This window comes from Homo sapiens, chromosome 15 (assembly GCF_000001405.40).
Source record: "Homo sapiens chromosome 15, GRCh38.p14 Primary Assembly".
In the NCBI taxonomy this organism is placed as follows: domain Eukaryota; kingdom Metazoa; phylum Chordata; class Mammalia; order Primates; family Hominidae; genus Homo; species Homo sapiens.
The window spans coordinates 62,065,420-62,090,139 of NC_000015.10; the positions used below are offsets into that span (position 1 = coordinate 62,065,420).

At 41.8% G+C, this 24,720-nt stretch overlaps 1 protein-coding gene and 1 pseudogene across 1 annotated transcript, besides 6 other annotated features; one reads left to right on the forward strand and one right to left on the reverse strand.

Moving 5' to 3' along the window:
• Positions 1,212-1,381: an enhancer, noted in NCBI's record as "active region_9521". NCBI's record gives its function as "activates an Ori minimal core promoter by ATAC-STARR-seq in GM12878 lymphoblastoid cells {active_cell/tissue: GM12878}" and the evidence as "EXISTENCE:reporter gene assay evidence [ECO:0000049][PMID:35858748]".
• Positions 1,371-1,665: a silencer, noted in NCBI's record as "tiled region #14002; HepG2 Repressive DNase unmatched - State 4:PromP". NCBI's record gives its function as "represses a minimal TATA promoter and a strong SV40 promoter by Sharpr-MPRA in HepG2 cells {active_cell/tissue: HepG2}" and the evidence as "EXISTENCE:reporter gene assay evidence [ECO:0000049][PMID:27701403]".
• On the forward strand, positions 1,558-5,498 carry C2CD4A (C2 calcium dependent domain containing 4A). Its single transcript, NM_207322.3, has 2 exons — positions 1,558-1,669; positions 2,166-5,498. Exon 2 carries the CDS (start codon positions 2,195-2,197, stop codon positions 3,302-3,304), a length of 1,110 nt encoding a protein of 369 aa, NP_997205.2. The 5' UTR covers positions 1,558-1,669; positions 2,166-2,194; the 3' UTR covers positions 3,305-5,498.
• Positions 1,782-2,297: an enhancer, noted in NCBI's record as "H3K4me1 hESC enhancer chr15:62359400-62359915 (GRCh37/hg19 assembly coordinates)". NCBI's record gives its function as "activates a minimal SCP1, AML or CMV promoter by ChIP-STARR-seq in naive H9 embryonic stem cells {active_cell/tissue: H9 hESC(naive)}" and the evidence as "EXISTENCE:reporter gene assay evidence [ECO:0000049][PMID:30033119]".
• Positions 2,528-2,577: a silencer, noted in NCBI's record as "silent region_6503". NCBI's record gives its function as "represses an Ori minimal core promoter by ATAC-STARR-seq in GM12878 lymphoblastoid cells {active_cell/tissue: GM12878}" and the evidence as "EXISTENCE:reporter gene assay evidence [ECO:0000049][PMID:35858748]".
• Positions 2,708-2,847: a silencer, noted in NCBI's record as "silent region_6504". NCBI's record gives its function as "represses an Ori minimal core promoter by ATAC-STARR-seq in GM12878 lymphoblastoid cells {active_cell/tissue: GM12878}" and the evidence as "EXISTENCE:reporter gene assay evidence [ECO:0000049][PMID:35858748]".
• Positions 2,898-3,387: a silencer, noted in NCBI's record as "silent region_6505". NCBI's record gives its function as "represses an Ori minimal core promoter by ATAC-STARR-seq in GM12878 lymphoblastoid cells {active_cell/tissue: GM12878}" and the evidence as "EXISTENCE:reporter gene assay evidence [ECO:0000049][PMID:35858748]".
• Positions 5,499-16,729: 11,231 nt separating the features above from the next.
• NPM1P47 (nucleophosmin 1 pseudogene 47) lies at positions 16,730-17,911 on the reverse strand (annotated as a pseudogene).

Here is a 24,720-nt window from a genome sequence, read left to right on the forward strand (position 1 = left end):
TGGCTGGAACCTAGAAAACATTCAGTACATGTTACTTTGAATGAATGAACTAATGAGCATTTGCTCTCTTCTGTAATAATAATATTATATCCGACATTGTGTATGTCATGCCCTATGCTGAACTCTTCATATTCACCATCTTACTTTATACTCATGATAACCGTATAGGTTGACACTATTATTAATTTTAAATTTGATACTGTGGCTTAGAACAGTTAACTTGCTCAAGGTCACATAGCAACCATTCTGGCATTAACAGTAGATCCAATTTCAGACCCAATTTTCTTAACCACTATACTTTACAACTTTCCTTCTATCTTTATTAATAATAATCAGTTCTATGTATTTAGCACTTACCATGTTACATGGTGCAAAATATTTTACATTATTATTTCCCCAAACAGCTCATTTATACCCATTAGTAGGTATGATTTCCTCCATTTCCCATCATTATGTGACCTTGGATAAGATACTTGACCTCTGAAACTGAGTTTTCATCTATAAAATAAGGATGATCCGAATATGCAGGGTTTCTGTGACAGTTCTACAGACTATATGTAAATCATCTAGCACAGTGCCTGTGTGTCCTGGAAACAAAATGCACATGCCCTATCCTGAAATCATTTTTGCATGAATTCAATTTAATTCATTAAATATTATTTAGACAAGTGAATAGTTTGCAAGGCAGTATCTTAGGCAGAAATATCTGCCTGAACGCTGAACAAAATGCCTCAGATCTCTTTCAGCCTGAGCTAACTGGAAGCAACTCTCTTACAAAATGAACACAGGTTAGTTTTCAAAAGGAAGGAAAAGGGTCTCTCTGGTGGGCACAGCCTAGAAAGGCCAGATGTAGTCAGGGCGCCTCCAAAGGATGATTCCAACTGCCCAGATGCATGCAAGTGTACATTTTCCCGATAAAAAATCAGCACACATGGCTTAAGAAGTAGATTGTGATTTTTTAAATTGATGTATAACATACAATAAAGTACTCTAATCTTAAGTGTACACTAGTTGATTGTTTTTACATATGGATACACCTCTGTAACTCCACCCTGATCAAGACATGAAATGTTCCCCCTAACCCAGAGGGGTTTATAATCAGAAAAGAACATCTAAAATCAGAACTGAAAACCGGAAAGCAAGTAAAGAACTTCGAAAGCTGGGCAACTGGGAAGCTGGATTTGGGGAAGGGTATTAGGCAAGAATAAGACAAACCGGACTTGTCTTCATTTTAATGGTGAATGTAGAGTACTTCTACGTGCTCACATTCATTACGCCCGTCGATCCTCACAATGACTCTGCGGTATAGTAGAGACTTAATACCATTTTGCATGTGAGGAAACAGAAACTTGTTCGGGGTTTCCGAGGAAAACACCTCCACCTGAAGCCGGAGAGAGAAAGAACTGGGTCTCCAAACCTTGCTCAGCAAATCCAGCCACGTGGCAGAGGGACAGGGAAGAGCCTGGCGTCAGGTTACCAGGCAGCGCCCCTCTGCTCGGCCCACTGGCAAGCGCTCCCAGCGGCAGGTATAAAAGCTCAGGCTGGCAGTCCTTGAACACTGGTGCTGAACCCCGCCGCGCGCGCTTTGAATTTCCCAGCCGCTAAGCGCCTCTCCTGGTCGGTGTCCCAGGCAGAAAGGTGCAGAGACCCATCTGACGCAGGACTCCAGGTATTTTAGGAGGGACCCATCGGCTTGCTTAATTCCCTGGGGGATTCGTCTGAGGCTCTTTGCCTCTGCAAGGGGAGAACCAGCCACAGTTTCCCGGAAGGAATAACAATTACTTTAATTCTAGCTGAGGACTAGACTGCTATGGTCCAAAGAGTCAGGAAACGATTGCAAGGCAATCGTTGGCACAGAGAACAGAGCGACTGAAGTTACAATCCAGCATTTTGTGAATCTCTGCCTTAGGCCAGCCAGGGCGGAGAGGGATTAAAACAAGCTCCGAAGTGTGTATTACAACACAGTTGAGATAGGACAAAAGAAAAACAGTTGTTTTTCGCTCACTGAAAAAATAGTTTGCAATAGCGGCAAGCAAGAGCAGTTTGCCTTGTTTCGGGAAAGGCAGGAAGAAACACCCCGAAAGTATTAATAGGAGAAAAGGAACAGGATTTACTGCACCTTGCGGGACTCGCTCTGACGATCCTTGTGCCTTTGTGCACTGCAGGTAGACAAGCTCCAGCAGAGAGTGGCCAGATGTGGTGCCTGGAGCGACTCCGCTTGGGTCCTGAGTGCCTTCGGCGGAGCGGAGACTGGCTTCTCCCGGGTCGGGCCCGCGGAGCCAAGTCTCGCACCACCGCCGCGTGCGCAAATGTGCTCACTCCGGACCGCATCCCTGAGTTCTGCATCCCGCCACGGCTCATGCCCCGCCTGGCCTTGGCTGCGCTCCGGAATTCTTGGGTCGAAGAAGCAGGGATGGACGAGGGCGCCGGCCGCACAGACTGGGACCCGCGCTCGCAGGCCGCGCTGTCACTGCCGCACCTGCCCCGTGTGCGCACCGCCTACGGCTTCTGCGCGCTGCTCGAGAGCCCGCACACGCGCCGCAAGGAGTCGCTCCTGCTCGGGGGCCCGCCCGCGCCCCGGCCCCGGGCCCACACCTACGGCGGCGGCGGCGGCCCGGACGCCCTCCTGGGGACCCTGCGCGTCCCGCGAGCTCCGGGCCCGGCGACCCCCGCGGCCCCCGGCTGTCCCCGCCCGCCCCAGGACGCGCTCGCCCGGCGGCCCCGCGGCTGCCGCCTCCTGCGCGTCCCCGACGGGCTGCTGAGTCGCGCGCTGCGGGCTGGGAGGAGTCGCCGCCTGACCCGCGTCCGCTCCGTCTCCAGCGGGAACGAGGACAAGGAGCGCCGCGCGGGCTCCCAGTCCCCGGCCCGGGCCCCCTCCACGAGCCCGCCGTCGTCCCGGGTCCCGTTTCCCGAGCGCCTGGAGGCCGAGGGCACCGTGGCTCTGGGCCGCGCCGGCGACGCCCTGCGCCTGGCCGCCGAGTACTGTCCGGGAACCGGGCGGCTCCGCCTCCGGCTGCTCCGCGCCGAGAGCCCGGCCGGAGGCGCCCCCGGGCCCCGAGCCGTCAGCTGTCGCCTCAGCCTCGTCCTGCGGCCGCCGGGCACCGCGCTTCGGCAATGCAGCACTGTGGTGGGGCGCAGCCGCAAGGCCTCCTTTGACCAGGACTTCTGCTTCGACGGCCTCTCGGAGGACGAAGTGCGCCGCCTGGCCGTTCGAGTCAAGGCCCGGGACGAGGGCCGCGGCCGGGAGCGGGGCCGCCTGCTGGGCCAGGGTGAGCTGTCCCTGGGCGCCCTCCTGCTGCTCTGAGGGCCCAGCCCTCCCCGGGGCGCTCTGCCCGGGGGACTCCGGACACTGACAGCCGCGTGGTACAAAATAAACGTGTATTTGTTGTTCTTATCAGTCCCGTTTCAGTACAACACTGGCAGAGATGATTCTAGATTAACTATCCCAGTAAAAGATATGATATTTTCCATAGATACCTCCAGAATTTTTTTCAGCAAATGGAATGGTTCTACAGTGTTTCCCAATATAGACAGCCATTTGCATACCATATGTACCACACACGCCTAGGAAATAATGAATCACATGAAGTGTTAGAACTAGAAAGTGTCTTGGCGATCTGTTTGCTCCAATCACCTCATTTTAAAATTGGTGCTTTCCACAACATGCATGGAGACCATCTTGGAGCATTTACTTTTGAAGCATTTTGTTTAAGACCCCGGATAAGAAAATGAGGGCAAAAGAGGTGAAGTGACTTGTCCAAGATCAACAGTGAATTATTAGTTGGAACGCCAGCCTGATACTCCTAGCTATATCTCACTGGAAAAGCATTGGAGAAAATGAAACCATTTTAATATTCTAAGCTTAAATAATAGTTATAATAGGCTAGGTGTGGCGGCTCACGCCTGTAATCCTGGCACTTTGGGAGGCCGAGGCGGGCAGATGGCTTGAGCCCAGGAATTTGAGACCAGGCTGGGCAACATGGGAAGACCGCGTCTCCATAAAAAATACAAAATTTAGCCGGACGTGGTGGCACGCACCTGTAGTTCCAGCTACTCTGGGGCTGAGGCGCAAGGATCACTTGAGCCTGGGAGGTCAAGGCTGCAGTGAGCCGAGATCGTGCCACTGCACTCCAACCTGGGCAACCGGAGTGAGACCCTGTCTGCAAATAATAATAATAATAATAAATAGTTTTACAAGCGTTAATTTATGTTTTAACCCCCAAAAGGAGGCACTGCTATGCCCATTTTACAGATGAGGATATTGAGGCACAGAATAAAGAGCAGAGCCAGAATTTGAACCTAGACAATCAGCATTTCACTCATTACTCTTATGTAGGTAATACCACAGTGTCTAAAGGGCTCGCTATTAAAGTTGCGAGTATTGTGCAACTTCTCTCTGAAACTGTTGACACTGAAGTTCGTGTCTACTTGTATTCCTCATCCTGCTTTTGGTGAAAAAACAAATTGCTTGAAATGAATAATTTATTATCTCATGCTAATAACTTCAGGCATTGAGATGAGCTGATGGGTCTAAAGCTCTGAGGAGGAAGCTAACCGGCCTCAGAATCATAGAAATGGGTGCCAGCCTTGTTGTAACCAGGTGAGTTTATCTGCTGGAACAGGCAGTGGAGAGTGTACAGATAGCATGGTTTTACCTCTGGCTTCTGATAATAATTCCAGATTTAACAATCCTGTTTTAGAGGACGATTTTCCCTCATCCCTTGAATTCACTGCCAGCAGGGCATTTTTTTCTTTTTTTTATGCAAATAGGAAAATGCATCCTAAATGAGGGTTTAAAAAATTGAAAATATTTAAATATACAGGATGGTGTTAAATATGACTCCATTATCAATCTGGATTCAGAAATGGTTTCTGCTTTATTTTATTTCATTTTATCTTTTAGAAACAAGGCGTCACTCTGTCACCCAGGCTGGAGTGCAGTGGTGTGATCATAGCTCACTGCAGCCTCTACCTCCTGACACAAGCTGTCATCCCGCTTTGGCTTCTCAAAGTGCTAGGATTATAGGCGTGAGCCACCATGCCCGACCAGTTTCTGCTTTTATTAAAATTGTTCACAGTTTTATACATTCATGTTCATTAAAAATGCTATTTAGAAAAGAGTTTGATAAAATAAATATTATACAAAATTCGAAGAAAAAAGAAAAGAGTTTCTGTTTCAGTCACAAATTAGGGTTATTGTGATGTGTATTTATGATGACCATTGAACAAATGTGAAGAATACTGTGAATTCTATGACTTTATCAAAATCAGCCACATCCAGGAGCTTGCAGTTGTTGACCAAATGAATGATGACATAGAGTAGTTCAGATCTATCATGTGCTCTTCTATCTAATCAGTCAATATTTCCTTGGCCCTCAAGCCAACATTCATTTTTTATGTATAACCTTCTTCATGATTTTGAAATTTTGATAGGGTAACTGCTAATGAGTTCACAAATGTAGCACTTTAAAAGGAAAATAAATGGAGAGTGAAAACAACTTGGCTACGTATAATTGTGGGTTTTAATTTTTCTGTTTTTAAAATAAAAAATGGCATTGATAGTTTCAATAGCCCAAGTTTTTATTCCAGAAGATGTTGCAATAACTGTTGTCACTAGATTATATACATGTCATTTTATTAAGTAGATTTTTTTTCGTGAAAGTAAATCAGTGCATTTGAGGGATCTAAATTTTTTATGAAATAGTGGTGGTGATTTCCAAACAGAATCACCATTAATGGCAAGTTATGGTTGATCAAATAACCTGAGTCTAATCAAAAAGGTTTTAAAGGGGCTGAGATAGAATCATAAATGATAAAATCATAAAATTTTAGAGTTGAAAAGAACTTTAATAATCATTTTGTGCCGGGTGCGGTGGCTCATGCCTGTAATCCCAGCACTTTGGGAGGCCGAGGCAGGCCGATCACAAGGTCAAGAGTTTGAGACCAGCCTGACCAACATAGTGAAACCCTGTCTCTACTAAAAATGCAAAAAAATTAGCCGGGTGTGGTGGTGCACACCTGTAATCCCAGCTACTCGGGAGGCTGAAGCAGGAGAATCACTTGAACCCAGGAGGTGGAGGTTGCAGTGAGCCAAGATCGCGCCACTGCACCCCAGCCTGGACAACAAAGCGAAACTGTCTCAATAAATAAATAAACAAATAAATAAGTAAATATTTAAAAATAATCATTTTGTGCAAATCTATATCATAGAAGTGGACCAGAGAAGCAAATTTTAGATTGCCCCAAATCACACAGTCAGTAAAAAGAGCTGAGACTAGAACCAATTTGATTTTCATTTTGCTCTTCAATCTAATGGCTCTTTGACTACTAATTCCAGGAAAAGAGAAACACTGTACATCACTAATCTAATCTAATGTTTTTGCATTCAAGAAATCTTACTTGCAATACAAATGTTTGGGATAACATTAGCCTTTCTGGGGCAAATTTAAATTTCATTTACACTTTACTGCCCTCTAGTGGATCCCTCAAGTGTTTTGTCAATTGGCTCTACCCCTATTATTAGATATTAGACCATTTCAACTAAAGGTCAATCTAATGCCAGGACCCTATTTTCTTGAAGACCTTTGCTAATATTAGATTGTAGTGAAGATTCACATTGCAAAGTAACTTAATACACCTATCTGAGAGCACAAGGTGGCAAAAATATTTTAGATTTAAATAAAGAGGGGAAAACTTTTTCCTTTAATAATGAAGTTGGGAGTGTGTGGCAATAGCATGTTGGTTACAGAAAACTGCTTTTAATAGTTCTCATGTTTCTTCTCATCAAGCTTTAGTACTCACATCTTCTCCATAAATGATATGGCATGATCTTGCTTCTTTGTGGTTTAAATATCTTTTCTTTGAACATATTCAAAGAAAAGCCCTACACAATAAACAGAATATGCCGGTTTAAATAGCATCAGTTGAGTAAAAATTTTAACACTGCATTGTCAGCTGGTTTTACAAAGATAATGTATTCTAACCTAAAATGCTAGCTTCAGTATGGCTCAAATATTCCCAGATGATAATTTCTTTGAATCTGATTTTCTTTTATACACACCTCAACAATTCACATTCTCCCCATATCCATCCCCAGCACTTAGTTTAACCATGGCATTTAAGAAACTGTTCTGCCTCCAGGCTTTTGAGTTCACAGAAAAAACAGATGCACGACAGCCCATGGTGTTTTGAAACCCAAGTTTTACTATTCTGTACATTCACGTAGCAAAATCCCATCAAATTAATGTCATAGACATTATAAGCCCATAATAAAATTCTTAGCTAAGAATTCTCCATAGCCCTACTGATTCTGCCTTCTATTACTGTAGATTAGTTCAATCTGTAGAATTTTATATACATGGAAAAATTAAGTATATATTCTTTTTGGGGGAATCTGGCTCCTTTCACTCAGCATTATTGAGATATATCCATGTTGTTGCCTATATCAATAGTTCATTCTTTATATTGCTGACTGGATGACTATCAAATGTCTAAACCCCAATTATTTTATCCCTTTATCTGTAACTGTTTTCCTTGCACTCATTATTTGTTTCTTTTTTCCCTTCTCCTCTTTTTCTGATTTCTCTGGTTTTAATTGAACATTTCATAGGATTTTACTTTATCCTCTTTCTTAGCATATCAATCATAGTTCTTTTTAAAATTTCTTTAGTGTTTGCCCTAGTGTTTGCATTATGCATTTGCAAGTAATCTAAATCCCTTTCAACTAACACTATACCAAGCTTGTCCAATCTGCAGTCCGTGGACGGCATGCGGCCCAGGATGGCTTTGAATACGGCCCAACACAAATTTGTAAACTTTCTTAAAACATTATACGATTTTTTTTTTGCTTTTTTTTTTTAGCTCATCAGCTATTGTTAGTATATTTTTTGTGGGGCCCAAGACATTCTTCTTCTAATGTGGCCCATGTCAAAAGATTGGGTACCCCTGCACTATATACTGCTTCATGGGCAGGTAGCTATATTATAATAGGGTATTCCCAATTCCTCCCTCCCTTCCCTTAACACATTGTAATTTATTTAATTTATCTGTTCTTTGGTGTCTGTCATTCATTTGGAAAAACTTTCATCCATTTTTACTTCATTTGCTTCATTCTCTCTTTCTTTTCCTCTCAATCACTCATATGTTACATCTTTTGGAATCATCACACAGTCTTGGATATTCTGCTCTTTTTTTTTCTCTTTGCATTGCAGTTTGGGAAATTTCTATGGACATGTCTCCAAGTTCATTGGTTATTTCCTTGGCCATGTCCAATCTATTAATGAAGCCATTTTAAATTTTCAACATTTCCTTTTGATTCATTTTTTAGGTTTTCCTGTCTCTGTTTACATTGCCCACATGTTCTTGCATGTTGTCTGCTTTTCCCATTCTAGCCCTCAACGTATTAATTATAGTTATTTTAAATTCCTGGTCGGACAGTTCTAAAACCTGTGTCGTATCTGAGTCTGGTTCTCTTGCTTTGTCTCTTCAGATCGTTTTTATCTTGTCTCCTAGTGTGCCTTATTGAAAGCTGGGCATGAATAATCAGATACTAGGAACTGAGGTAAATAGTGTGAGGCTTTATGTTTATCTGGAGGAGTTATGCTGTGGTTGCTCTTTGCTATAGCTGTAAGTATCTGCGGCCAGTTTCCCTTAATGTCCATGTTTTTATCTCCTCTGCTGTCTTGAGTATCCCTAAGAGCACCTTCTTACATAAAGCATCTGCCTTGAAACTCTTTCAGCTGTTATCCACTGATGTCCTGACCCCTGTTGATATGGTGGTAAATGTTGGGAAAGGAAAGCAGTCTATAACTCTATGATTAAATCTCAGTCTACTAGTGGACCATTGTCCTTGGGTTGAGACCTTCACAAATGTTTCTTAGCCTTTTTTCTCCAGGTGAGATGGGAAGGCTAGCAGGGCTCAAGTTGAGGAATTGCCCCTCTCCTAAGCTCATAAGACTCTGGTAAGGTCCTTTTCTCAAGAAGAGTAGATTTTTGTTATGGAAAAATGCTTTGAGAGTATTTCAAAATGATTACTGCTAAGTTTTCTCTTAGCTCTTCACCATGAGAACCTGGTGGGGCTTCTGGGAATAACCCATGAAAGTGCGCCACCTACAACACCCTTCCCCCAACCCCAAGACTGTGGATCGCAGGAGTATCTCATGCTCACATTAGTCCATACTCAGCCTCCAGGAATTTGTCAAAATAACCATTTAGTATTCCCATTAGTTTATGGCTCCAGTAGCTTCTGCTCCAGGTAAGCTGATCTTGGCTTGACTCTCCATGTCAGCTTGTTCCTCCAGATTTCAGGGTAGTGGTTTGCCTTGCTACATCTAATCTCTGATAGGTCTAAGAAAAATTATGAATTTTTAGTTTGTTCATTTTTGTTTTCTTATTGTAAGAATGGGAATGACAACTTTCAAGCTCTTTATATGGTGGAGTTCATTATGAGACAAGCTTAAAGGGAGGCTGACCCCATTTGGGAAGTTAGGCTTCCAGAATCAGTATCCATTCTCCTGCTAATAGATATTTAGATTATGTCCAATTTCAAGCTTTTATGAATAAAACTGCTACAAAAATTCATGTACAAGACTTTGCATGGTTGTATGATTTCATTCCTCTTGGGTAAATACCTAGAGTGGAACAGCTGGATCATTATATGGTAGCTGTATATTTAACTTTCTAAGAAACTGACATACTCTTTTCCAGAGTGGTTGTGTCATTTTACTTTCTTACCAACAAGGTGTAAGAGTTCTGGTTGCTCAACACCCTCACCAACACTTGCACAATAAGGAACTTTTGAAGGAAATATATACAGACGGTCCCCGACTTAAAATTGTTCTACTTAACAATTCTTTGACTTCACAATGGTGAGCAAGCGATATGTATTCAATAGAAACTGTACGTTCGAATTTCGATGTAATGTAATCATCATTATCTTGGTATAAGATATTCAGAAAATATGCGGGTCCATTAAAGAAACCTGGAACATCAAGATTTTTAAATATTCAGCGATGATTCCACAGCTTTAGTGTTCAGTAAGAGTTACTGTGTTTCTTTCCAAAACTCATTAATTTAGCCATTTAAAACCAATACAGATAGGCCGGGCACGGTGCCTCACGTCGGTAATCCTAGCACTTTGGGAGGCCGAGGCGGGTGGATCACGAGGTCAGGAGATTGAGACCAGTGTGGCCAACATGGTGAAACCCTGTCTCTACTAAAAACACAAAAATTAACCGGGCATTGTGGCTTGCATGTGTCTGTAGTCCCAGCTTCTCAGGAGGCTGAGGCAGGAAAATAACTTGAGCCCAGGAGGCGGAGGTAGCAGTGAGCCAAGATCGCGCTACTGCACTCCAGCCTGTGCAACAGAGCGAGACTCTGCCAAAAAAAAAAAAAAAAAAAAAAAAAACAGATAAAGAGATCTATCATACAGCAGGATCAAATTTTGTGAGAGTCAATTAAAGGAGATAACAATTACATAATCTGAGAAAAGTCTGACTAGAGATGGGGCTTAGACACTCTCTTGCTTTTCTTTTATGTAGATTGATAAAGTCTACTTTTGTCAAGGAGCCGACAATCCCTCCTTTCCTTTCTTTATTATCCTGCAGCTGGTGGAGCAGAAATATGAACCATGTAGTGACATCAGAGGTAGAATACGGCTGCAGAGCCGGTTTCTAACAGTCATGAGTCAAAGGCACCACTCCACCTACAAATCTGCGGTTGGATTGTGGGCCCTGGGCACTCTGTAGCAACTCTACAAACATCATTGTCAATAACAAATTCATTTCTTAAGCAGAGTTTAAATTCAAAGTCAGAGGAATGTGGGTTACAGATCTCAGCTGTCATTTATTAGCTGTGTCTCTTGGTCATATGAATTAGCCTTTCTAAATGCCATTTCTTCATTAGTAAAGAGGAGTAATAAATATTACCTACCACATGAAATCTTTGTAAAGATTTAAGTAGATAATACATTAGAAGTCCTCAGCACAGTGGCTAATATTTAGAACCACTCAATAAATATTAGCTCTACTTTTTGCTTCATAATAGATGATGTTACTAGATTTCTCTCCAAGCTTCTAGCATGTTCAATGGATGCTTATCTTAGAGCCAGGATCCTATAGCAAAGAGAGTTAGTAGACTAGTTATACTCATATGAGCCATTTGAGAAACATATGTGGTGCCAAAGTAAGTGTTACAAATAGTACTACAGACAGGGAGTCTTAAAAGAGGGAATCAGAAAATGAGAAACATCTCAACATTTTTATTTATTTATTTATTTACTTATTTATTTTTGAGATGGAGTCTCTCTTTGTCACCCAGGCTGGAGTGCAGTGGTGCGATCTCGGCCCACTGCAACCTCGGCATCCCGGGTTCAAGCGATTCTCCTGCCTCAGCCTCCCGAGTAGCTGGGATTACAGGCGCCCACCACCACACCTGGCTAATTTTTGTATTTTTAGTGGAGACAGGGTTTCACTGTGTTGGCCAGGCTGGTGTCAAACTCCTGACTTCAGGCGATCCGCCCACCTCAGCCTCCCAAAGTGCTGGGATTACAGGCATGAGCCACCACGCCTGGCCTCGACATTTATTTAATACTCACCAAATTCCAGGCACTATACCAGGACATTAAGTATTAGGTCTCTGTGCCACAGCTATGTGAGGAAGGGCTTGATAGGTAGATCATGATCCTCAGAGAAGAGCATGGTCACACAGCTGGTGAGGGGGAAGGCAATGATTTCGACCCATGTTGATGTGAGCACAAAGCCTCTGCTAGGCCTTGGATACCCAAAAGGTGGGTTGGACTTGCATCTGCAGAGGAAAGGGAGAAGGGCAGCCTTAGAAAAGGAACTAAGTTTTGGAGCCAAGCTAAGTAAAATGTGTTCTGGAAACAATGATTCTTAGGTCCCCAACAGCTTCCTAGCAGCACCTTTAGGGAAGGTTCTGTTGATGAACATACTGCCACTACTGGGGATCTGTATTTGCTGACTTGTTAGCACATAAAACGAAAATATACGTATCACTGTGTCTTGCAACAATTAGAAGAGAGCAATCAAACTTCCATTTTTTCACTCATACTGTCAGATTGCCCTTGAAAAACACTATTTCTCCATCTTCCAAAGACATTTTTCTGACTGGTTAATTATGTAATCAGTAGCAGGTTAAAAGTATGAGCTTTTCTGAAAAGTGGGTAAATCAAATTCTTAAGCTAAAAAAAAATGAACGGCTTTGAGACAAGACAGATGTATTACTTTTTATTTTATGTAACCCATTTCGCTAAGCTTAAAACTGAAAACTGCAAATTTCTTTACTGGGACCAAGACCCTGAAATTTAACAAATATTTACCATCCTTAAACATTTTCAAACACTTTCAAACAACAACTTAAGGAAGTAAGTAAATCCATGAAAGATGATATAATTTAAAGCTACATAACTTAGAAATAACTTGCTCCTTTTTTTTTTTTTTTTTTTTTTGAGGTGGAGTTTTGCCCTGTCACCCAGGGTGGAGTGCACTGGCATGATCTCGGCTTACTGCAATCTCCACCTCTCGGGTTCAAGCAATTCCCCTGCCTCAGCCTTCCGAGTAGCTGGGACTGCAGGCGCGCACCATCATGCCTAGCTACTTTTTTTTTGTATTTTAGTAGAGATGGAGTTTCACCATGTTGGCCAGGATGGTCTCAGTCTCCTGACCTCGTAATCTGCCTGCCTTGGCCTCCCAAAGTGCTGGGATTACAGGTGTGAGCCACCGCACCCAGCCTAACTTGCTCATTTTATAGATGAAAAACATGATATCAGAGAGCAAAATAATTTTCCAGGTTTACGTTACCAGTTAGTAGCATTTTCTGACTGCCAAACTATTGTTCTTTCTGCTTTTATATACCGTAATACTAACTCTACTGGTATACTACTAATTTTTTGCATTACTAAAGAACACTTTAAAAATGATCACCACCAAAACAGCACCATTCTCCTGCCACTCTGATGTAAATTAATTTTGTCTTTGTTCACTACCTTCCAGTCTTTGCTCATATCTATATTTATATGGGTCAAATAATAATATACATATATATACTATTTTTTCTATTTTTTATTTATGATTGTAATGTAAGAGCTGTTTATGTTGCTATTAGTCTGGTATCACAGCCCTTCAGGTAGACATATAATGATTAATTATTTTCCTATTGTTGAATGTTTTGTCACTTTCCCAATTTTTTTTTTCATTTTTTTTTGAGTTTTTTCTTTTCTTTTCTTTTCTTTCTTTTTTTTTTTTTTTTCCTGAGACAGAGTCTCACTCTGTAGCCCAGGTTGAAGTGCAGTGGCCTGATCTCAGCTCATTGCAACCTCTGCCTCTCGGATTCAAGTGATTCTCATGCCTCAGCCTCCCAAGTAGCTGGGATTACAGGTGTGCACCACCATGCCTGGCTAATTTTTTGTATTTTCAGTAGAGACAGGGTTTCGCCATGTTGCCCAGGCTGGTCTTGAACTCCTGAGCTCAGAAGATCCGCCCACCTCAGCCTCCCAAAGTGCTAGGATTGCAGGTGTCAGCCACCGTGCCCAGCCTGAATTTTTTCTTAGAATAAATTCTAGGAGGTGAAATTTCAGCCTCAAACCCTATAAACATTACTACAGCCCCTATGAATGTTACTATTAGAATTATTCATAAATTGACTTTCCTGATTGGTCACATTTTCTTTTACGAAATGAAATGGGGTAAGAAAGGACTTGTGGGAGTAGGGGGTACAATTCTAAATTTCACAGGCCTGAACCTGTCTGTAGAAGTCACAATACCCACTATTTTCCCAGAGTTAACATAGGAAGTCAAAGAGAGTGAGGATGGCTTGGTTACAATGGTACGTAACAGCTATTATTGCTATGGATTAATACATATTAGGGACTCTATCTGAAGGAATTTCATGGTCTGGACTTTTACTGAGCAAAGACCCTTTCTCAAGACATTGAGATTTAGTTTACAACAACTACCTCCAAACAGCAAAAATGCTATTGGTATTGGGGTTTAAAAAACATACTGCCTTTAATAATTGGTTTGTTAGGTGCCAAGTTAAGTGCCAGGAGAGAGAACTGAGAGGAAAATTTCACTCAGATGCATCAAACTCAGTCTTAAATTACTGAGAGGAGAATAAACTAATTTCATGCAAATACATTTTTAGACTTATGCTTTTTACATTGAATTTTCATTATGAATGTGATTAATGTATAATTCACAATCATGAATTAAGCTGCCACCGAGGCAGACCCAACAATATTAAATTACAATGTCAACAGTATCGTGGAAACGCTCTGCTTTCCAAATACCTGAGTAAAAGCCCTAAGAAAGACAGCCACAGGTGTTTATTGAGCACTCAGTATGACCTCAGCCACTGTGTCAGGCACCTTGGGGATATTGACAAGCAGCATGTGGCATGATGTTGAAGAAAGAGTGATGACAAGGAATAGGAGACATGAGTTCTCATTCTGACTTTGTGCTCCATGAGTAAATCACTTCCTCTTTGGGTCTTAATTTCCTCTTTCGGAAAATGAGAAGATTAGCATAGATCCACCATAGCCAGTAGGTTTTATCTCAGGTATAATACCACTGAACTTATAGTGGCTGCCTGGAGTGCTATGATAGAAATAATCCTAAGGCAATGTGTGGACTTAGGGAGACAACACTCTTCAATAACATAGCTATGTCTCTGTAGGTTCACAATGGAGCAGGAGTACGTGTGCTATTACTTATTGACCTTGGTCTCATGAGCTCTGCAGCTCTGATATTTATTGATGTTAATGAAGACAAAATTCTTGCCTAAAGTAAGCTAAAATCGGTTGGGAGATAAGATCAACAACCACAATTACAGTGAATAATCAAGATAGAATAAGTATAAGGGCTAATTTTTTCAGTAAATATGATAAATATCAAAACCCAGAAAAAAAGAAGATCAATAAAGACTTGAGTAGTTAAGGATACTTTCTTGGAGAAAAAAAACACTTCAGCTGAGACTTAAAGACCAGGGTATGATAATAATATAAGCACTAAAACAATACTAAATACTAAAAAGATAATATAAATATTTATAATTATATAGTGCTTTAGAGTTTACGCACCATTTTGGCATATTGTCAAATTTTAAGAGGATTTCAAATGTGTTTTACGCTTTCAGAATGTTTTATAATTTACAGTGTTCACAATCATTATAACATTTAATCTCAGAATAATCCGAGAGGAAGGCATCACTAGCCCTATCTGATAAATGAGGAGTTTAGTAAAGTTAAGTGATTTATTCAAGAAATGTCACAAAGTTAATAAGGGACATAGTTTGAAAAAGATCTAGAGTCCAAACCTAGACTAAGGTAGGTCTATCAGTCAGGGTTGAACATAAAAACAAAGTAAGTGTTCAGTAATCTAGAAAGAGTGATTGTTATATAACCATGGTAACAAGAAGTCACCAAAACTGATTTTAAACCTGTTCTATTGATCAACAACTTGTTTCAGTGACTGCTTTTGAAAGCCAACCAATCAGTGTCAATCCTCACTTCTACAAGTCGGCCAGGCAGGATGGACTCATTTCAATAAACATGCCTCTGAGTGCCAATCAACAAGTCTCAGAGAGTGCTTCTACAGATATTAACACACTTATGTCTCTAAATGTCCTCCTATCCCTGAAACCCATGCTTCCCCAGAGCCTTATATAATATTAGCAGAAAGTTCTGCTCAGAGAGAATGTGCCTAACAAAGCTCTCCCTTTCAATAGTAAGCAATAAATTTACTTCCCACTCACCCCAGATATTGAGTGTTGGTCTCATCACCCTTTGACAAGGTCGAGTCATGAAAACAGAAACCACTCTGGGTATTTCAAACAGAATTAATAGAATGAATTGCTTACACAGGGTTGGAAGGACTGTGACAGCACAAAAGGGACAGTGAGGCAACCCACAGATTAATAGCTCTAGGTGAGCAAAAAGCTTATCAACTATTGGTGAAATGAAAATGTCTACTCAACTCATGACAAGCCTTCTTCCAGGCACACTGCTATACAGCAAGGAACAACATAAATGAGGTCCTGGCTTTCATGGGGTCAACATTCTAGGTGGAGTTAAAGATAGACAGTCTAGACCAGGCATGATGACTCATGCCTGTAATCCCAGCACTGTGGGAGGCCAAGGCAGGTGGATTACCTGAAGTCAGGAGTTTGAGACCAGCCTGGCCAACATGGTGAAACCCCATCTCTACTAAAAATACAAAAATTTGCTGGGCATGGTGGTGCATGACTGTAATCCCAGCTACTCGGGGGCTGAGGCAGTAGAATCCTTGAATCCGGGGGGCAGAGGTTGCTGTGAGCCAAGATCGTGCCATTGCACTCCAGCCTGGGTGAAAAGAGTGAAACTCTATCTCAAAAAAAAAAAAAAAAGATGAACAGTCTAAAAAATTAGATGAACAAGGTAAATTCACATGCAGTCACATGACGATAATACAACAGAGTAAGATGATGGAGACTGGGGATCAGGCAAGGCCTGTCTCAGCAAATGGAGCTCATGCTAGGCAGCTCAGGGCCACCCTGCCAGGCCTGGGGTGAGAGCATCTGGGCAGAGGAAATCGTCGCTATGAATACCCTGACACTGGTACCAGAAAAGGTTTTGTGCTCGTCCCTGTCACCAGTCCTTCTGTGTCAAACTGTTCATTCCTAAACACCAATCTCACTGAAATAAACATTAGCTACATCTTTTCTTTTTTCTTCAAATACTGGGTTTATTCCACATGTTTATTTTGTCTTCTCACCATTTCCATGTCTGACCATCGCTACTACTATGTCCCATAGTGATATTTCACACATACTTAAAGCCAAGCAAAGGGCAGAGTTCTATCTTTAAATACTAAACAAGTGTTTCAGGCAACACATTCTTGGCAATGGAGTCCAGACATTTCTCAAACATGGTAGGGAAAGTTCTCACTCTGCATTGTAAAAAGGACAGCCAGATATCAACTGCTACACAAATGAAATAAGATGAAACATTTTAACAACGTGTTTAAACTATTCTTAAAGAGGCTTCCTCCACTGCCAGAGATCTGGAATAGCCTCCTAGTCAGTCACCCGGAAGCAATTCTTCACAAAATTGATGAACATGGCCTCCACTTTGGGAAGAAAACCACCTTTATCTATTCTTGCTTGCATTTTTGCTTTAATGTCTTCTACAGAGCTAGGTCCTTTTGGTGTTTTAAAAGTTTTTTCTCGTGCTTTGAAGGATTCTTGACCTTTTAATCTTGTGTTGATGGTTTTGAGTCTTTTCCACTCTGATTTTGTTGTTTTGTATTTTGGGTTGAAATACCTCCTGTAGTTTTCTTCCCTGAAGATTTTTCTTCAGTTTCCTCTTCAGCAAAATCATCGTCATTATCACCTTCTTCATCATCACCATCCTTTGTCAGCAGCACTTTTTACTTTTTTCTGTGGAAGCTTGCTACCACCTGCAGGGGCAGATCAATTTCCAGATATACTTAAGAGTTTCCCATCCTCATCCTCTTTGTCTTCTGACTCTGCAGCTTCCTGCACAGCTCCTAAGTGTTGTCCACTCATATGCACCGGCCCTGAAACATATTTCAATGGTAAGAACATGGGTGGTGTTATTTCAAAGCCCCAAAGGGAAACTGTTGGCTATACAGATGTTTTCAAAGTTGCCAGTGTTACCTTAATTGGACTGCCTTCATTATTCATTATCTCTGCTTCAACAACGTGCAATTCATCCTTTGCACCAGCTCCTGAACTGGTGGTTCTTAAAGATAACTGGCGCTCATTTGTATCATTATCCATCTGAAAGTGACAACCTTTGTCACCCTTTAGCTCGCAACTGAGAAGATAGTTCTGGGCCTTAGGAGGCTTAAGTACATGTCCATCAAATCTTCCATAGGGTGGCGGCACACACTTAGATGGGAGAGGAGGTGGGTGATGATAAAGGATTGCTGCTCCAGAGAACAGCTGCACAGGATGGAATCACACCGGTTTCTTTTTCTTTCTTATTTAAATCTGGAAACAGGACAAAGTCCATAAAGTGTGTCTGTGACTCTGGCTGGACGATTGGCCAACTGTTTCCTCCATAATATACCATAAAGGGGAAAAGAAAAGGGGAAAAAAATACCTGCTGGGGAGGAAAATACAGAACAGATGGTGATGTTTACCCCTTCATTCACCTTTGCATATGTGAGAAATGCTTGCAAAACTTCTAGGAACTGGGTGTTGCCAGAAGGAAAAAAACACATAAAAGCTAATTACTAGTAATAACAGCATCAGTAAACCTAATCACACCTGGGGTGGTTGAGCTGGAAATAGAAAACCCAGCTTATCACATTCTTACAAGCCTGTCACTTGTGGTAGTCAGAGCTTAAAAAGGGAGAGGGGCTTTTCAGGGTACTGTCGTGTTATTAGTTCTTAGCCGTGATGGTCTTGTTTAGGCTAATTGTGAAATACTGCTTCTTTAAAAGCAGATGTTAAGCTTTATGGCAGGAAAAGAGAAAGACATTTAAGTAGGGAGGGTGAGTGTGAAACAGACTGAAGAAGGCTGAGCATAATCAGGTGAGATAGGTTATCTTTCAGTTCTGCTTTAACCAGATGTGTGAATCCTCTGGGCCCACGCTCTCCCCATCTGTGGAAAGGGAGGTATCAGGTGAAATTCACCCCTGATATTTCACGTAGGTTCTTTTCTAGTTTCCCTAAGTGTCGGCTGGTCTGAGAAATAAAGGGACAGAGTACAAAAGAGAGAAATTTTAAAGCTGGGTGTCCAGGGGAGACATCACATGTCGGCAGGTTCCGCAATGCCCTCTGAGCCGTAAAATCAGCAAGTTTTTATTAGTGATTTTCAAAAGGGGAGGGAGTGTATGAACAGGGTGTGGGTCACAGAGATCACATGCTTCACAAGGTAATAAGATATCACGAGGTAAATGGAGGCAGGGCGAGATCACAGGACCACAGGACTGGGGTGAAATTAAAATTGCTAATGAAGTTTCAGGCACGCATTGTCATTGATAACATCTTATCAGGAGACAGGGTTTGAGAGCAGACAACCAGTCTGACCAAAATTTATTAGGTGGGAATTTCCTCGTCCTAATAAGCCTGGGAGCACTATGGGAGACTGGGGCTTATTTCATCCCTGCAGCTGCAACCATAAAAGACAGCCGCCCCCAAAAGGGGCCATTTCAGAGGCCTACCCTCAGGGACACATTCCCTTCTCAGGGATGTTCCTTGCTGAGAAAAAGAATTCAGCGATATTTCTCTCATTTGCTTTTGAAAGAAGAGAAATATGACTCTGTTCTGCCTGGCTCACTGGCAGTCAGAGTTTAAGGTTATCTCTCTTGTTCCTTGAACATTGCTGTTATCCTGTTCTTTTTTCAAGATGCCCAGATTTCATATTGTTCAAACACACATACTCTACAATTTGTGCAGTTAACGCAATCATCACAGGGTCCTGAGGCGACATACATCCTCCTCAGTTTATGAAGATGACGGGATTAAGAGATTAAAGTAAAGACAGGCATAGGAAATCACAAGGGTATTGATTGGGGAAGTGATAAGTGTCCATGAAATCTTTACAATTTATGTTCAGAGACTGCAGTAAAGACAGGCATAAGAAATTATAAAAGTATTAATTTGGGGAACTAATAAATGTCCATGAAATCTTCACAATTTATGTTCTTCTGCCATGGCTTCAGCCAGTCCCTCCGTTCGGGGTCCCTGACTTCCCACAACAGGAGCATTGGACCAGAGTGGTGGTTTATAGTGATTTTCAATTTGTTGCTGAATCTTTTCTTTAAGTGGTGTCTTATACAGAAACCCTACATCGAAGGTAATTTTATTTTTTTAAAGGTGGTGTCTTGCAATATTGCCCAGGCTGGGGTGCATTGTCTATTCACAGGCCTGATCATAGCTCACTGCAGCCTCAAACTTCCTGAGTTCAAGCGACCTTCCTGCCTCAGGTCTCCTGAGTAGCTAGGATTACACATGAGCGTCACTGCACCACACAATAATCTTAAAGATGAAGTTGCTCTGATTGATGATGGGGTGGCAGACCCAGAAACTTATTTACTCATTCACAGATACACCAAGACAACAAATTTTTTTTTGAAATTTTTTTTAGTATTCTTACTGCCTGGGAAACATGGTGGGGGGGGCAGATGATAAATAAACATAGTAAGTCAACAAATTCTATGATACGTTAGAAGGTGATAAATATAACAGAATAAAGAAAATAAGTTAGGGGAAGGGAAGTCCACAGTGTCCAGTTGATGTGGAGGTAAATGCTATAGAGAAAGGAGTCTGGGAAGGCCTCAGGGAGAAAGTGAGGTTTAAGCAAAAACCTGAAAAGTGGCTGAGGGAACTACCAAGCACATATCTGGGAGACAAGTGTCCCAGGCAGAGGATGCAGCTGAAGCAAAGGCTCTCCACGTGAACATGTCTGTGCACTGGAGGAACAGCAAGGAAGTCAGGATGGCGGGAGTGTAGTGAACCAGGAAGTCAGTCATGGGAGATGAGTAGAGGGGAACCGGGGGCTGGATGATGCAAGGCCTTGCAGAGTCTTGCCAGGAATTTGGCTTTTAGGCTCAGTGACATGGAGAACACCGCATAGTTCTGAGCAGGGGAGAGATCTGATGTGACTTCTGTTTTTACAGGCTCACTTTTGCTGCTGTATTGAGAATAGACCAGACAGTTATAAGAATGGAAACAAAGAGGCCAGTTAAGAGGCTAGTGTCTGATTCAGGCCAGAAATGAGGTTGCTCAGACCAGGGTAGTAGCAGTAACAGGCAGTGAGAAATGTGTCCAGGGTCTGGATAGTTTCCAGGCCCACCCCTCAGCCTCTTCCTCATTCCCATAGCTGCTTCTGGGGACCTCCCGGAATCCCTGAGACTTCCAGGAGCACAGTTTGCAAATCCATGGGTCTGATGACCTGCAAGTCTCCCTTCTGGTTCTGGACTCCAGCTCCAGGGGAGCCAGAGCACTAGTGTTCAAGGAGCTACACGAGGGACGGTGTGATCTGCTGGGCCTAATTTTTCTTTCCAACCAAAACATTTACATTTTGAATAATCAGAAATATTTTGGCTTATAAATCATCATCAGTTTCTAGCCCAAGCCCATTTTCACATCAGCCGTTCTGGCCTCACGTTTTGGCTGCAGGCAAGAAGTCCAGTGAAGGCCTCAAATGTGCAGTCATTTCCTTATGCCCATGTTCAACTCTCTTCTCTGGATGACAGAAAGAGACGAGAGACCACTTGGGACCCCAACACCCAAATCCCTCCACAAGATGACCTCTGTGCTGTCTGCACTGTGATATTCATAACTTAGGATTTTACACACAGTGGGTTCTCAAAGGAAATAGGTAGCGTTGATTCAAATCTATGACAATAACTCCACATAAAAACAATATTATAAACAGCAAAATTGCAAAGAGTTGCAAGGTGGATGTATGTTTCTATTCACTTTAGCCAAACCTTATAGGCAGCTGCCCGTGATATGATCTGAGGGGCACAGAGGGCCCACCTACCTAAATTATCTCCTCCTATAGTCTTCTATGGCCAGGATGCTGGATAGGATTTATCTCAAATACCAAATGTGATCAATTAGTAAAGTCTGTCTGGAACAGTGTGTTGAGGATGGAAAAGCCACATCCAAAATCAACATAACAAAAAAGAACTGTATTTGATTAGTAATGTCTGCTATGGCCACAGGGTGAGAAAATATTGTTATATATTTTATCCTTATTTTAAGCTTTTATTTTATGTTAAAAGTCCCTGTATTCAGAAGGTACCAGTTAAAATACAAACATGAACAGGAAGAGTTCCAGTAATGAAGCAAGTTGAATATCCATTCACATGTTCTGTATGTCTCAAAGAGTAAACTCTATTTCTTAAGTATGTACCTGAATCTTTAATTGGAGGTAGCCTGGCCCAAATCTGCTTTGTTAGGAATTGTTATATGCAAATCTGGTAACATTCAACCCAGCTGTTTTGTCTGTTGCTTGTTGGCATCTTAGAAGTTATTTTTGAGCACCCACTATTTGCAAGGCACAATTAGGTGCTTTCCATATAATATCTCAAATTCTCACCACAACCCAGCAAGTAGGTATGATTTATCTCCATTTTCCAGATAAGGGACTGGGATGTCACACTGCTATATGTGGCAGACAGAGGTTCTGAATCCAGTTCTGCCACCTTCAACACCTGGCTCTTCCCCTCTTTTAAACATTTGCAATGGGACCTCTGAGCTCAAGCACAGCCTCCTGTAAAGGGGAGATTACCAGCAAATGGCTGTTACCAGCTGACAAATGATGAAGCTGTTCATCTCAAAGATGACACCAGCCTAAGCCTGGTGATCTTTGTGATTTCACTAAGTAAAGCCCCAAGGGCAATTAACACTGATTCAATAAAGGCCAAAGCCCTTACCCAATCATTTGTTTGCATCCCTTCAATAAAATAGAAATGTCAGCTGGATGTGACGTGCCTCATACTGCCAGTGATATTTTGAAAGAAATGACTGTTTTCTCAGAGCTCACATTTCCTCTCCAGCCTCCTCCCGTCCCTGTTGCTCCCCAAGCCACCTCCTGTCAGAGTGGTTGCTGGGAAAAACATCAGGTTTCCAAATGCTGAGTCAGGAGTGGAAAGTTTCCCAGAAAACGTACCAAATTTTTAGATTTGCATTTCTGATCTTTATAGGGAAGAAATATTTAGTTGCTGGTTTCCACTGGCACACATATGATGAATTTAGGGTGTAAGAAGCAAAATTTCAAATAAGCATTGTTGCCTGATACATCATTTGTAAAGCTCGCGAGAGGAGACACTGACAGGTTTCACCCACAAGTTTTTAACCCACAGTACCTATTGTGCACACAGGGAGATCAATATAGCCTGTGTAATGAAGGAGGGTGCTATGGAGGAGGCATGAATTCCTGTGTTTGCATCTCTCTCTCATTGAAAGTTTGGAAACCTGACTGAGGCTCTGGGATCAGACTTTCTCAGCTTGAATCCCAGATTTACCTCTTGCTAGCTTTGTGACCTTGGACATATTTTTTTAACCTCTCTGTACTTCAGTTTCCTCAACTATAAACCGGGTATTGTAATTGAGCCTACAAAAATCCTGGAGTGGTTGTAAAAACAAAATATGACACTGGGGATAAAAGGTTTAGCATAGCTTAGTATTGTATAAGCTCAGTAAGAAGTTGCTTTTATTATTATTACTGTTATTGTTTACATTTGGGTATAGGATATGGACAACTGTCACCTTCACACTTGCAAGAGGGGTGCACAAGGGTATTGTCAAGCAGGGGAAGAAGTTGGATCTTTAAAATGTGCTTGGCCATAGCAAGTCCCTGGTTCTCTCTCTCTCTCTCTCTCTCTCTCTCTCTCTCTCTCTCTCCAGTCTACTCTCATCAGACGTCTTCTGTGAAGTGGAGGGACTATTAGGCAGAGGCCACGCTGCAAACCTTTCCAACTTATATCAAACTAGCCTAAGTGACCTCAGAGGAAGGAAAAGCAACAGAATCTCTAGGGAAGCCTCGACTGGCCCAGCTTGATCATGGGACCCTCCCCGGGCCAATCACAGTGGCAAAGGGAAGAGGGTACTTCTGTTGGCTATTGAACAAAACCTCACTGGGCAGTGGAGGGGAGCTCTTCAGGGGATGGGAATGCTGTCCTGGAAGAGAGAGGACAGGTATGCTGCCAAGACAAAAACAACAGATGTTGGTCCTCCAACACTCACCCTCAGTACATAAAAATAAGCTGCTTTGGCCACACATGAGTACATCACTTTATTAATAACCAAATAACATTCTCTGTGATTAAAAAAATTGTTATATAAACCAACTTGGAAGCTTAAAACCAAAAGCAACAAAAAAGCATAGATATATATGCCTTATATATATATATTCTGCCAATAGGTATAAAACAAATTATATTTTAAAATATTAATCAGATCATTGTTAATTTTATAACTTTATTTTTTCAGCTTCATAGGCTTTTATTCTAAGTTGTGGTCATGTTAAATTTTCTTGTCCTATGGAGTTCCTTAAGCCGTTTTGTTTTTATGTGGGAAGGGAGAAAACATTCCGCTACAGATATGGGATGCAAGTTGACAGAAACAAAATTTGTAAAGAGTGTGCTTCCATTTCTTGGTATACAATGCTTTCATAGCAAATTTGCAAATAATTTAATTTATCTTTTTGATGATTTGGGGTAAGGTGGTCATGTAATCCAGGCAACATGAGAATATTTCTTGTACCCTCTGTCAAATATTTATTAGTTGATTCCCTAAATATTTCTTGAGGTTCTACTATGTTATTTTTACCCATTTGAATGAAAGCTGTTGGAGTAGGAAGTACAAACAAGTCGGCACTGTTCCCAGTCTTGGAACTCTGATGACTCATTGGGTGGTCTCTTGACTTAAAACTTAATTCCAGACACCTGATGGCAATCAGACTGGATTTAAGCCAAAAAGCCAAACAGGTGAAGTAAGACATTTAAACTGTCGATGAATAAATGATGACCTCTTCAGGCAGAGGAGAGGCAGTATCTGGGAAGGGGAACAGCAAGGCTTTGGGGTGCTGGCCATGTCCTATTTCTTTTCTTTTAATTTAATTTTAAAAACTATCTTACAGTCAAATTGACTTTTTTTCTTTCTTTTCTCCTTACTTTCCTTACAGTTCTATGAATTTCAACACATGTATTGCAGTGGTCTGGATCTGTGTCCCCGCCGAAATCT